The sequence below is a fragment of the Homo sapiens genome, chromosome 17 (genome assembly GCF_000001405.40).
Source record: "Homo sapiens chromosome 17, GRCh38.p14 Primary Assembly".
In the NCBI taxonomy this organism is placed as follows: domain Eukaryota; kingdom Metazoa; phylum Chordata; class Mammalia; order Primates; family Hominidae; genus Homo; species Homo sapiens.
Window position 1 is genome coordinate 56308490 of NC_000017.11, and position 14859 is coordinate 56323348.

General features: G+C 39.2%; 1 protein-coding gene across 13 annotated transcripts in view; it reads left to right on the plus strand.

The window, feature by feature from the left end:
* ANKFN1 (ankyrin repeat and fibronectin type III domain containing 1) overlaps positions 1–14859 on the plus strand; it is a 470940-nt gene that overhangs the window by 262413 nt on the left and 193668 nt on the right. The gene's annotated exons all lie outside the window — the stretch shown is intronic.

The window sequence follows — 14859 nt, forward strand, 5'->3', positions numbered from 1 at the left end:
CACATAGGAATGGTTTTATTTTTTCATGCCAGTGATTTTTTTCTAGTGAGCATTTCAATAAAATGCCTTTTATTGCATTTTCTTGCTTACTATTACTGACTAGAACTCACAAAATTATGATAAATAAGAGTGATGAGAGCTGCCTGACTTATTCTTGATCTTAGGGGGAAGCATTGTCTTTTACCATTTACTGTTCATGTTAGCTGTTGGATTTTTGGTAGATGTTCCTTATCAAGCTGAGGATGTTCGTTCTGTTGATATTTTCTGAGCGTTATTGTCATGAATGAATGAATGCTGAATTTTGTTTAATGCTTTTTCTGCATCAATTGATATGATTATGTGAGTTTGCGCCTTTTATCTGTTAATATGGTGAATTACATTGATTGGTGTCCAAATATTGAATAAGCCTCGCATCCATTGAATAAACACCACTTTGTCCTGGTATATAATTATTTTTATATGTTTCTGAATTCTATTTGCTAATATTGGTTAATGATTTTTTGCATCTACATTTGTGAGTAATATTTTCTTTTTTGGCACTGTCTTTATCCAGTTTTGTTACCAAGATAATATCAGGTTTATAAGACAAAATATTATGTGTTCCCTCCTCTTTTGGGTTGGAATTTGTGTTAATTCTTTAATTCTTTTTGGAACGTTTGGTAGAAAATTCTCCAGTGAAACAATCTTGGACTAGACATTACTTTTTTTGATGTTTCTAAATTATAGATTCAATTTCCTTAATGGTTAAAAGACAGTTAAAATCATCCATTTCATATTGGGTGAGTTGTGATAGTCTGTGTTTTAAGAAAGTGGTCCATTTCATTACAGGTATCAAATTTATACTTATAAAATTATTTATTATAGTCCCTTATTATCCTTTTAATATCTGTACAGTTGGTAATGACATCTCCACTTAATTCCTGATATTGGTAAATTGCATCTCTTTTTCTTTTTCTTCAACAGTTAATAGAGGTGCCAATTTTATCTTTTAAAAGACATTTTCTCTGTTTCATTGATTTTCTCTATTGTTTTTCTATTATCAATGTTATAGATTTCTGCTCTTTTTTTGATTCATAGATTGGAAGAATTTTCTAAAATCTTTTTTGGCTTTCTTGTGGTACAATGGTGCCCTTTCATCCACAGGGGATACATCCCAAAACCCCCAACAGATGCCTAAAATCCTGGATAATACTGAACCCTATATACACTATGTTTTTCTTATACATACATACCTATGATAAAGTTTAATTTATAAATGAGGCACAGTAAGTTATTAACAACAATAACTAATAATAAAATAGAATACTTATAACAATATTCTATACTAAAAGTTATGTAAATGTGTTCTCTCTCTCTCAAAATATCTTATTGCACTCTCTTCACCTTTCTTCTTGTGATGATGTGAGATGAGACAATGCCTACAGGATGAGATGAAGTGAGGTGAATAGCACGGGCGTTGTGATGTAGCACTAAACTACTCCTGACTTTCTGATGATACATCATAAAGAGGATCATCCGCTTCACATGATCCTGGATCGTTGAGCCATGATGATGTCAGTAGTTAGGTATCAGGAGCAGATGAAATCAATGACTAGGGGCGTGTAGTGTATACCACATGGATACGCTGGACAAAGAGATGGATTCACGTCCTGGGCAGGACATTGAGGTGGTGCAAGATTTCATCATGCTACCCAAAATGGTGTACAATTTAAAGTTTATGAATTGTTTATTTCTGGAATTTACCATTTAATATTTCCAGACTGCAGTTGACCACGGATAACTGAAACCACAGAAAGCAAAAGCACAAATTAGGAGAGACTGCTGTGCTTTTGCAAATTAAAAATTGGGCCGGGTGCAGTGGCTCACGCCTGTAATCCCAGCACTTTGGGAGGCCGAGGCGGGCGGATCACGAGGTCAGGAGATCGAGACCATCCTGGCTAACGTGGTGAAACCCCATCTCCACTAAAAATACAAAAAATTAGCCAGATGTGGTGGCAGGTGCCTGTAGTCCCAGCTACTCAGGAGGCTGAGGCAGGAGAATGGCGTGAAGCTGGGAGGCGGAGCTTGCAGTGAGCCGAGATCGAGCCACTGCACTCCAGCCTAGGCAACAGAGTGAGACTCCATCTCAAAAAAAAAAAAGAAAAAAAGAAAATTACAAATTGGATATAGCTAAGGTGTACAATTCCATGTTCTGATATATATTGTGAAATGATTATCACTAGCAAGCTAATTAACATATCCATCATCTCACAATTACTTTGTGTGTGTGTGTGTGTGTGTGTGTAGAACATTGAAGATCTACTCTAATAACAAATTTCAAGTGTACAATTCAGTATTATTAACTATAGTCACCATGCTGTACATTAGATCTCTAGAACTTATTCAGCCTGTGTAACGGAAATTTTGTAACCATTGACCAACGTCTCCCCATTTCCTCCCCCTGCCCCCAGATCCTGGCAACCACCATTCTACTCTCTGCTTCTGAGTTCAACTTTTTTAGATGCTACACTAGAGTGACGTCATGAAGTATTTCTCTTCTTGTGCCTGGCTTATTTCTTACTTCATTTAGCATAATGTCCTCCAGGTTTATACATGTTGTCACAAATAATAGAACTTCCTCCTTTTAGGGCTACATAATATTTCTCTCTCTCTCTCGCTCACTCTCTCTCTCGTGTGTTTGTGTGTGTGTGTGTGTGTACCACATTTCTTTTATCCATTACTCACTGTTCATGTGAAGGTGATTCTTTTTATAAAGTATTGGCTCTGCCACCTACTAGCCATGAGACTTGGGCCTTACTTTTCTCATCTGTAAATTCAGATGCTTCTAATGCTACTTCCCATCACAGGGTTGCTGTGGGGTTCAAAAGAATTGGTGAGTATAAGGGACTCATCAAGTACAGGTTGAGCATCCCTAATCCAAAAATCCAAAATCCAAAATGTACCGAACTCCAAAACTTTTCAGTGCCAATGTGATGCTACAAACTACCCTGAGTACGTTATATTTTCACTGTATTAATGTATGTCATTTTTTTTACTGTTAAGTACTTATGTGTGAAAATGTATACAAACATGATTGCTTATTGGTAGCATATAAATTCAGAGACAGGAATGGCAGTGATGCCAAACAACCACAGATTGTCTACGTGGGTGGCTGTGATAGTGATACTTTTGCCTTCTGTTGGTTCAGTGTACACAAACTTTGCTTCATGCACAAAATTAGCAAAAAGTGTTGTATAAAATTACCTTCAGGGTATTTGCATTGGGTGTATATGAAATGTAAGTGAATTTTGTATTTAGACTTGGGTGACATCCCCAAGGTATCTCATTATATATATGCAAATATTCTAAACTCCAAGAAAAAATCCAAAATCTGAAACACTTCTGGTCCCAAGCATTTCAGAGAAGGGATACTCAACTTGTAGTCCCATTATTTTGTGATATCGGTGCTGTTATTTTGTGATCACTCTCTGATCACAGAATCTAGAACTCTTCGCGGTCTCCTCTTCAGGCCTATGGTTCACCTGAAAACTTGGTTCTAAAAAGAAAGAGCCATTCCTAAATATTCTATTCCCATTGGACGTTATCTTCCTTCACCCCCACCACCCAGTGTTGGTCTGACTGCAGTGGGTCTGCCCCTCTATATCCTGAGGGCTACCATGTGGTTACTGGAAGCTATCCTCAGCCTATCTGATAGTAGACCTGTGTTCTGTGCTTCTGCCCACTCCCACCTTGGCTCTGATTTGCTTAAAATTAAATGATACTTTTCTGTGAGAAGGTGCTTGATATTCCACATGTGTCTGGCTGCCAATTCCCAGAGGCCTTTTGATTTGACCCTGTCTGTGGCCCAGCACTGCCTATCTAGTCTAGACCCAGAGTATAAAAGAAAGCCAATCCCAGGAGACCTCAGGGTTAGCATCTAGGCATTATTTCTGCTGATCTTACTCTGACCCATTCTCCCAGTACCTCCTTTCACACTCCTTTAGTTGAATCCCTAACATAGGTACTTCCCACTTTCTCGGAGCCTCTCTCCTAATCCCGGCTGCCCTAACTGCCAAATCTCTGGCCCTCCATGGTCCTCCACAGACCTCCTTTCCTTTGCTCGTCTCCAGTTTTTCAGTCTTTGCTACCTGTCGCCTGCTGGAAAGGTCACTAGCTTCCAGCCTCACACCTCTCCAAACCTGCATCTGATTTTGTCGTTCATCACATATTTGTAGGGCACCCACTATGTGCTAGGCACTATGCTAAACCTTGGGGTATTATAGTGAATAAGGGATGGATTCCCTGCTCCCATGCAACTCACAGTCTAAAAGGGAGCAGACTAACAAACGACAAGTAAAGAAAGTAGTTACAAACTATGGTTGGTGCTTTTAGAAAAACAACAGTGGGGGCGGGCACGGTGGCTCATGCCTGTAATTTCAGCACTTTGGGAGGCCAAGGCAGGTGGATCACGAGGTCAGGAGTTCAAGACCAGCCTGGCCAAGGTGATGAAACCCCGTCTCTACTAAAAATACAAAAATTAGCCAGGCATGGTGGTGGGCGCCTGTAATCCCAGCTATTCAGGAGGCTGAGGTGGAGAATTGCTTGAAGCGGGGAGGCGAGGTTGCAATGAGCTGAGATCATGCCACTGCACTCTAGCCTGGGCAACAGAGCGAGAATCCAACTCAAAAAAAAAAAAGAAAAAAAAACCAGGGTGCTGAAATAAAGATTAATGGACATGAGGGAAGGGTATTTCCTCTCTGAGGAAATGATATTTAAGCCAAGACCTGAGAGATGAAAGGGAGCCAGTCCCATGAAACAGGGACAGATGTTTTAGTCAGATGGAACAGTATGTGCAAAGATCTTAAACAGGACCTCATATGAAGCTGTGCAGATTGTTCAGGGCACAAACAAGCCTGGTCATGGAGGTAAAGGAAGTGCTGAAACCCAGCCAGGCTCTGTTCCCCAAGCAGTGTGCCACAGTAAGGGGAAGGAACAGGTTCTTTTTCTGAGCCTCATAAAGACACTGTGTGAGCTAGTAGTAATCTGAGCCTTGAGGTGGAAAGAGGATGGCTCTCAGTCCTTTTCTCTTGGTCCTTGGGCTGCAGCCTGGGTTCACATCCTGGGATCTTGCACTCAGCTTACAAATACCCATCCCCATATGCCTGCCCATTCTTAGATTAGTCTATGTTTGATCTTATCTATCAAATGATAACAACTCAGATTTACATGGCATTTTACATTTGCTTCAAATCTCATCTGATCTTCCAATTTCTCTGTAAGGTAGCTAAGGCAGGCATTATTCATTAATTATAATTTGCATAAAATACCATGAATAGATTTTGTGTTTTGGTTAGTTATGTTTCAATAATTGTATATACCCCCTAACCAACACCTAAATCAAGATACAGAACATTTCCAACCGGCCTGAAAGTTTCCTTCTGCCACTGTCCAACCAAATATCCCACCAACCCAGTACAACCTAGGCAGCCAGTGTTTTGATTTCTGTCACTATTGATCAGTTTTTTCAGTACTTGGTCATCAGGGGAATGTAATTGTGTAGTAAGTATTCTATTGTGTCTAGCTTCTTTTGCTTAATCTGATGTTTCTGAGATTCATTCACATTATTGTATGTCTCAGTAGTTTATTCCTTTTTTATTGTTGAGTAATAGTCCATAGAATGAATATACCACAATTTGTTTAGCTATTACTCTATTCATGATATTTGGGCTATTTCCAGGTTGGCTGTTTTAACTAAGACTGCTATATTCTTGTGTAATTCTTTCCGTGAGCATTTATTTCTCTTTCTTGTGGGTAGAACCCAGAAGTCGAAGTGCCGAGTCATAAGGTATATTATATTTAACTTTGTAAAAGACTGTCAAACAGTTCTCCAAAGGTATACCATTTTATACTCCAATCAGCAACCTAAAGGCACTATAGTTGCTCCACAACCTCACCAACTCTTGGTTTTAGCCATCATAGTGGGTGTAAACTAGTATCTCATTTTAATTTTATTTTATAATTCTCTGAGGACTAATCATATTGAGCACCTTTTTATGTGCTTATTGACCATTTGTATATCTTCTATTGTAATATGACTATTCTAGCATTTGCAGGGTGACTACTATTAATTTCACTTTATAGATAAGAGAATTAAGACTCAGGTCAAGTGGCCAAAGACTGCAAAGATTCACAGCTAATAAGTAGGAAACCCAAGTCTTTTACTCATATCTCCTGACTCTAACTGGTGTTTCATTTCCAATATATTGGACTTTTTCCTACAATGGTTCTCAAGCTCAAGCTGCCCTCATCAGTAATCTTTACAGCATCCTGAACCTCAGGACCTTTTAGATAAGGGCACAGTCAAAAAATTTATAGATGTAGACAAAAGAAGACATGAATGATTTTACATTAACTGAAAGCAACATAATTTTTTTTAATTAGTCATCAAAACCATCACTCTAATTCTGGAGTTCTTGTTTGGTACCTGATACCCTCTCAGGCAGAGATGTATTCTCAGTCTCAACTCCTCAATGCTGCCGAGCTCGAAATAAGCCCTTCTTGTTCAGGTGCAAATGTGTTTCACTGGGCTACATGTAACTCTCTTCAGCCTATTTGTTTTTAATTCAATCAGTTAAAACAGCCACAATTTCTCCTGTCCATATGCCACATTGCAGTAAGTTAATGTTTGCTTAATGAAATGTAAATGCTCCTGAGGCTTGATTTTCTCACTAATATAGCTGGAGGAGATGGTGAATATGTAGCATGATTCATTCTCTCTCTCTCTCTTTCTTTAAGAATTAAATGTACTTTGAAGTTGCAAATGTCACAGAAAACTCCCACTTTTCCTTGATGCTGAAGATAAATCACTGAAGGAACAATGAGAATGGATAATCAGCCTTGGTTGTAGTTGTATTTGACAGACTGAGTTTGAGCATCTGACAAATGCGTGAAACACTGTGACTCCCCTTTCAAACTAAGAGAAGACTATGCTAGCTAGCAGGGCAGCCCAGACAGAAGGTGCCTGTTGCTGTCCTTTTAATCCTCTCTGAGCAAAATCTTGTACTTTTCTCCCAAATAGTGAAGGAAGTGAATAAGCCATTGACCTTTTAATTCCATTCAACGCCTTTGCTGTGCTGCAAGGTGCATCCAGTAGGTTTCACAATGCAGAAGAATGACATTGAGTATTTGGCATATGCAGTCCTTGAGAAAGCTCCTCTGAGCTTAGAAAGCTCCTCTACTCCTTAGAAAGTAGCCAGAGCAGCCCATTCAGACTCTGCTCTATCTGATTTCATAGGAGTTCAGAGTCTGGGACAAAATGAAGAAAGGGAATTTGGACAGGAGTCTGAAGACAGAAGAACTAGGCCAGAAATAAAAGGGTCACACCAATGTCTGTGAAGAGAAGATGGGAATAATAGAGATGAGGCTACAATTTAAAAAGATGAATCAGTCAAGGCTTCTTAAAAGTGTTCCTACAACCTCTTCAACTTTCTTTTTGTTTTTCCTCCTCTGTTCTTCTTTCTTCTCCAATTCATTAAATGCCTCTTTGCTGCTATATGCCTTAGGTCAGACGCTCCTGACATTTGTACAGCAAACTTCATCTGACATTTTTAGAAGAAAGGGGACAAAGTTTTTATTTTCAGCTGAGAGTAATTTTAATGGGTAAAGTGGCATTTACAGTCAACGTTTAACTGATAGTGCAGATGGCCTTTATAATTGCTGGGTCTTATTACACAGTTATGCGTCTTTATTATTATGCTTGAATGTGCAAATAGAATTAACTTCCTTGCTTCTCTTGGTATTTCAAATTCTCACTGTGATTAATTACAAAGAATTCTCTCCTTAATACTAAGGATCTGATTCCATGAAGTTGTGGAGATAAACCAAGGAGACTTTTCCATTTGTAAAATGGAGGAGGTATTTCTTATGGCAGTAGAAAGCTGAGCAATTTGGCAGGAGACTGGGTCATAAGCCACCCACTCAAGTATCATCTAAGGAACACTTAGGCTGTGAAATAAATGGAGAAAAGGACCTGGAAAATACGGAAGGCTTCTTTAGAGATTTATTCATTTAGCAGTTAGCCAAGGGTAGAGGACCCTTTTGGAAATTTGGTCTTGGGGGCCTAAAATTTAACTTAAGCCTGGATTCAAATGCCAAACAGAAGTATTCCTAGAAGAATTGACAAAAAACAAAAAAATCTCATTTTGACTGGCACTCAGGAGAGAAAAATAAATGAGGGTGGAAGGAGGAGAGTTTTCTTTATGGCTTGACTGACCACCAAAGCTATCCAGATTCCTCACCCAAATCACCACCCACTGAGTGGGGCCACCTAGGGTAATTAAAGGATCAAATGCTCCTGTGCTATACTGTAAGCATTTAAAAAGCACCAGTCCCACTAATAGAAACATCTTGTTGGCTTTCTCTGAAGAAAACCTGAATAGAGAATAGAATTCTATTAATGAGTGAGGCACATCTACATTAGTTCCTTTTTAAAAAAGAAAACATTCCTGATAAATAACACACGTTTAAAGCAGATTTCAGCACACTCTCTGGAAAGAGAGATCACATATATTGACTCTGAAATATCAGACCATATGTCCAATACAAACCAAGACTAGCTGGGTTGAAATAAAGCATTTTTTTCTTTGTGGCAGAGAAGTTCTTCTATGTGTTAAGTGCTCTATGGCTTCTTGACATCATAACATGTTAGAGCTAGAAGTGACTTTCAACGTCATCTAGCATGACCCCCTCACTTAGAGGAGAAAACTGAAGGTGTTTTTAAAAAAGAAAAAAGCCAGAAGAACCTTCAAGAACATTCCAGTTGCTGTCCAGAAACATTGCAAATCAACCTTTTTAGATGCTTTAGCAAAAGGGAAAACTCCAGCTTGCCTTCATCTTTGACTCATAGGAAAGGTGTAAATCCCACCCACGTAGTTAAAGCTTTCTTGCTGGACTCCCGCTTATTTTGAATTTAACAAAGGCTAAAAAGCCCATTGTGAAATGTTTGTTTGGAGGGCCAGAATCTAAACTTGCATTCCTTGTCATGGTCATTTTTTTAAAAGAAGATGACAGATTAGAGTAACAGAAGGGGAGAGACTCCAGCAATGCTAGACATAAGAGACCATCAGAAGAGGATGCTCTTTCTTTCTGGCTTGCTGTTGTTATTTTTATTTTCCACATACTCCTAAGGGTATCGGGTTTATCACCATGGCTGGGATGGGGCTTGGAATGTGGTGGACAATATGACAACAATTTCCTTCCTGGTGTGTCCCTGAATGGCCAGTGCAGTCAACACATAATCAGACAATCTACAGCTGCACTGTTGCTGTTGACAACTTCATTATGCCTGTGATATTCAGCTGGGTAATTCATTTCTCCAGCTTGGCAATATCTCCTGATATGCCTAAATGGGTTCAATGTAATTTTGTAAGCTTTTGAAGATGCTTACCCTTCCCTTGTGAGACACGATACACATTGTCTCCCCTTGTGCTTAGCTTTGTCCTAATATGGGAAACAATGATAACCACCACCAGGAAATAGCATTGCCTTGTTCAGCTCTTTAGTGCAGATTGAGTCTCCAGACCACAAAGGCAGGAAATATTAGTGATTGGAATGACACAGTAGGTCACTTAATGTCCCTTGTAACTGCCTTTTTTTAAATTTTATTTTTATTTTTTGGCCTGCCTCTGCAATTAACCTTCATATAACCAGGGCATTTTTCTACAAAACCAGATGGCCTTGCCAAGGATGTAAAAATAGATAATTAATGGTTCTGGGGGGGGTGTGCTGGCCTTTGGCATGATACCTCTACCCTCACCAATACTGTCCTGAAATGGAAGAAGCAGATAAGAAAGTAGAAATATGAGCATGCATAGCATCCAACACCAAAGCTGCCCTTTTCCTTAAACTGGGAAAAAGTATAAAATGCATTCCTCTGAGTTCTCTTTAATTCTTTTCAATTAAACCTATATGTATTGAAAATTATCTACCATGCACAGGGCCCCAGTCCAAGAGCTGAGAGGGAAATTCAAAAATCAATGAGGCCCGGGTCCTGCCCTCATGGAGATTTCAATCCAGTAAGGGAATTACATAGAGCCCCAAGTAACTCTAATGAAGTTAGGCTGTGCTGAGAGTTTTAACATCGTTATAAATACTACAAGGAGAGAGGAGAAAGACATTCATTCCATCGGGAACATGAAAGAGAGGTAAATAGTCTGTCTTCAGGGCCACCTTCCTTATTCCACCAGCCAATCTGTATTCTTTTAAGAAAATCTGGTCTGCTGAGAATCTTATTGGAGTCAACGTCTTAGTTCTGAGTTAGGACTACTCATCCTATCTGATTTCCAAGTGCTTGTTTGTCGTCATTGATAATGATCTGTTCCCAAGTATCTCAAATGAAAATGGAGAAGATAGCATAAAGATAGGTCAAAGAGTCTTTCAGGTTATTCTTTTATCTTTTTATCTACCTGTTTTCTTGACTTTATAAAGCTAAATTCTCCTAAGTGGACTCCTGTTGGCAAGTAGAAAATAGAGACTGAATCTGTGACTTTTAACTGCAGATATTTCAATATTAAGATTTTCTTTACAAAAAAAATGAGGAGGAAGAAAAAACATAGACAAAGGAGGAAGAAGAGGAGGAGGGGTCTGCCTAAAATTGAGTAGTCATTTATCCTTCAGTATTTTGACTAATCAACGAAACCGTTTTGACTTGTCTATTGAATAGTCACCTCATGGATTCCAGCTTCCGTGCCTACTGGTGAAGATTCATATGATTTGATGGGTAGCTGTACACATACATAGGGTTTTGAAAAAGCTGAAACCCTGAAGTCTGATAAATGTTCTATTTTTTAATCTAGACAAACATTGGTTTATGAGTTATCAAATCCTAGAGTATTAACTATTTCATTTTCAAATTGTTTGAGAATTCTGCACAACATCCTTAAAGTAAACCAGGGCACAAAAATCATCTTTGGCTTTGAATCACCAATAAAAGACTTCCCCAGAGGAACGGCCAAAATGAGTGTTGTAAATGGAGAGGGATCCCAACATCTCTGCCATGGATAACAGTCCTCTACCACAACCGCACTACAGTCCAGATATCCCTATACAAAGGCATGATTGAGGTCCAATTAGCCACCAACCTATTACACACTTTATTCATTATGACCAAATCTAGTGCATCAAAGAATACAGATGGCCTAGGGATTGGTCATAAGAAGCAACCTGTGCTGGCTCCTTTTAAAGAGAGTTAGGTGAATACTGCCACCTATTGATAGGTGAAATTTATGCTACAAATTCCTACTGATGTGCTAATGCTTATCAGAGCTGATCTCATTTCTCAGTTGGCCAAAGCATTTTATCAGCCCGAACTTCATAATTATTTACATGTTTTTGATGAAAAATAATTATGTTACATTAATGTAAAACAACTAACGAAATGTATTATATTTCTTATTATATTATTATACATATTATGTATTATTTCTTATTTCTTGGCAAAGGAATGAAGTGGAAATACCACAAACTTTGCAGAGACCTGGGTCTGAGTCTCAGCTCAGTCCCTAAATGCACATAAACAAGCTGATTAATCTCTCTGAACCTGAGTTTCCTCATCGATAAAAAGTGGGTAATCCTACTTTGTAGAGTGTGAGAATTCAGAGATACCATTGCATGGCACATAGAAGGTATTTGATAAATGGCAGCATTTATTTTTCCACTGAGCTATTAAAAGTAACTATTTTGATGCAATGATTGGTAATATGACAAACCACATCATGTATCAGACTCTGGTGAACTCTTCCACATGGTTCAATTATCCTTTGGCAATGCTACTTGTCTAGTATAGTATCTTTGACATCCAAAATTAAGACAGTGTGAACATAAATATTATAACCTGAAGTGTGCCAATTGAGAAAATAAGGATAAATGGGCTTCATTACCAAATGTCTCCTGACTGCCCTAGAGGATATATGGGGCCGAGCAGATAAAGAATTATGATAAAATGTTGGAACTGCATATAAATGGGGCTTTGTGACCTGCTGGATAAGGTTGAGACTTAGAGCCAGACCCAGGAGGCTCACATTCCTTCCTCGGCATGGTGTGGGGGATCCTGGGCTCATACAGACAATAGGGGATTCATAGCTTGAGAATTCTAATGATGACTGAAAGGAGGGTGGCAGCCAGGACAAGAAGGCTTTTCAGAAGCATGGACTCCGATTATCACGTCGGTGCTACAGCCCGGTGAGAGGCTGCTGAGAGGACGGATGAAGCTGTTCTTGGAAAGCTTTCAGTGAAGTGTTTGTAACCTCCTTTAAGAGAATCCCGTTTCTCAAAAATGTGGCACTGGAAAATCCCACATGATTAGTTCAGATAAACACTCTGTCATCGGATTGCACTACGAGGAATATGGGCCATCTCTTTTCGAAGAGTCTTTTTGAATGCAATGTGTCTCGTCTCCAAGACTTAGAGAAAAATTCTAAAAGAGGCTTTCTCAGGATATTTTGAGACCGTTACTTTTAGTCTGAAAGGTCAATTGGTGCTTAAAACAAAATAATCAAGAACTAGCATGCCCGTGAGCAGTCTGCATCTTTTCTTTAGGAAAAAAAAAAAAAAAAAAGTCTGCTTTGGATTGAATAGCCAATGCACTCCCCCACCCCTTTTCTTTTTTCTTTGGGGATTAGAAATTGAGAGGGAGGAGGAAGAAGAGTTTCACATTCATTACTAACAACTTCGCACATAATAAGCATATTCAGATACACCCTGGGGTGTTAGTTTTCTTTTCCTATTTTTTTGTCTCCTTTTTAGCAGCTTTCGGTAAGTAGCACATTTTATTTTTAAAAAAAGAATCGGAGCCGTTATTGAGCAGCCTCGCCCTAAGGAAGGTCAAGAGATTAGGGAACGGAAGTAGGCTGGCCAGGCTCTTTGCTGACCACAGTAAGGGAATGCCACTTTCTTATAATTTAATTTTGAGATCCTGATGAAAAGGCACTCCCTAAGAAAAAAAAAAAAAAATCTTCGCTGAAAAAAAAGTGAAAAATTGTTAGAAAATAGCCATCAAAAAGTGATCAATTTAAATTTATGTCTAACAAACAAACCACATGGAACTAACCACAGGGCAGACATGCATTTGCAGCGATATATGGACATTCTCAAAATATGGTCAGGATTTTGCAGGGGAAAGTGGACATTACTGGCTTCTGATGTTGGTGGGCTTTGGCCTAATTTTGCAAGTATTCTGAAATTCTATACATCATATGTCACAAATCAGAGGAGAGTATACTAAAAGAGACCTTTGAATTTAACTGGTCCAATGCTCTCATTTCACAGGTGAGAATAATGAAGCCTAATGATAAAAAGTAACTTGCCCAAGATCACACAGCTGGTGAGGGGCAGCTCAAGGACTGAAGTTCAAACTCCCGTTTCCCAGACCCAGGTTCTTTCCAATGAGCTAAACAACTGTAGTGGGAAACCGCAGACTCTCACATTTCATGGAAACCCTGTACCCATGCCCCCTGGAAATGGCCCTCAATGTTGCTAGAGGCAGCTCATCTGTCACAGCCTGGGCTAAAATCTTTACCTGGTGCTAAATGGGTTCTTCAAAGCATTCTATGAATGTCTAGGCACATTGACATGACTCCAAGGACTCAGCTTCTGTTCTTTTCTCTGTCTTAAAAAAAAGAGCACAGACCACAACCTGCATGCCATAATTATCTCTAGGTGTATGTACTGGAATAAATTAATGTCATCATCATCCGCCATCATGTAGGCTAAAACTTTAAGTCACCTTCAACGTGTCTCTCTCTCTCATCCTCCCCATCCCCCACCTATACTATTGACAATCCTGTAAGTTCTATCTCCAAATATAAGACTTTCATCTCCTAATTTACATCTTCACGGGCCTTCACACCATCAGTGTCTTCCTGCTTCTGGGTTCTCACCACTATCCACAATGGCCAGGCCAGGTGGATCCTAATCAACTGTTCTGGCATTCTCCTGCTCAGCTCACTGTCACCTATGGCATAACATCCAAACTCTTTAACATGGTGTTCGAGCTCTCCCCAATTTAGCTCCTGCTTACTTTTTGAGACCAATTCCATCAGCTCTTCCCTGCATTATTCACTCCAGTACACTGGACTACTTGTCATTCCCTAACAGCCCCGGAACTCTATGCCTTGACACTATGCCGTGACGCCGAACCTGTTTCTTCTTTTCAACCTGTAGAGAGATCTTCATTCCTCCAGTTCCAGTTCAAACGCCACCTTCTCTGTGAACATTTTCTATGTGTTACAGAAAGAAGTAATAATTCTATGTTCCCTTAGCACATTGCTCATACTTTTTTATGGCATTTACTTAATTCTGCCTTTTATTGTAATTGGTTGCATATCTCATGCTAAGTATATCTCTTTTATCTTTGAAAAGATGCCCTGTTCATCTTTGAATGGGAGCAATGCGCCCTCCCAACCACATTGCTTCATTTAATATCTGCATATAATAAATGATTTTCTTTCTTAATTTTACTGAGCACTTACTAGGGCTGGAGGTGTAGTGGCTGAAGGAGAAAGATGCAAAATAAAACACAATCCTTGTATTTAAAGGAGCTTTTAATTGAATCAGTGAGACACATTCGCAAATATCCTAAGCAAGTTAAATAACTGTGGGGGTGGAATTGGGTGGAGGGGAAGTTCTGAGTGTGGAACAAACATTCTCAGTGTTCCAAATGAGAACATTAGTATTATGACATGGAGGGTGGAGTAATGGGGGAGGAGTAGAAGGAAAGAAAGGGCAAAGCTGCCTTTAGATCCCATCTCGTGCTGTAGTCATTATTAGAGTCTTCTCTAGGTCTGGCTAATCTCACTTATACTTCTCTCAGAACCAGAGAAATCT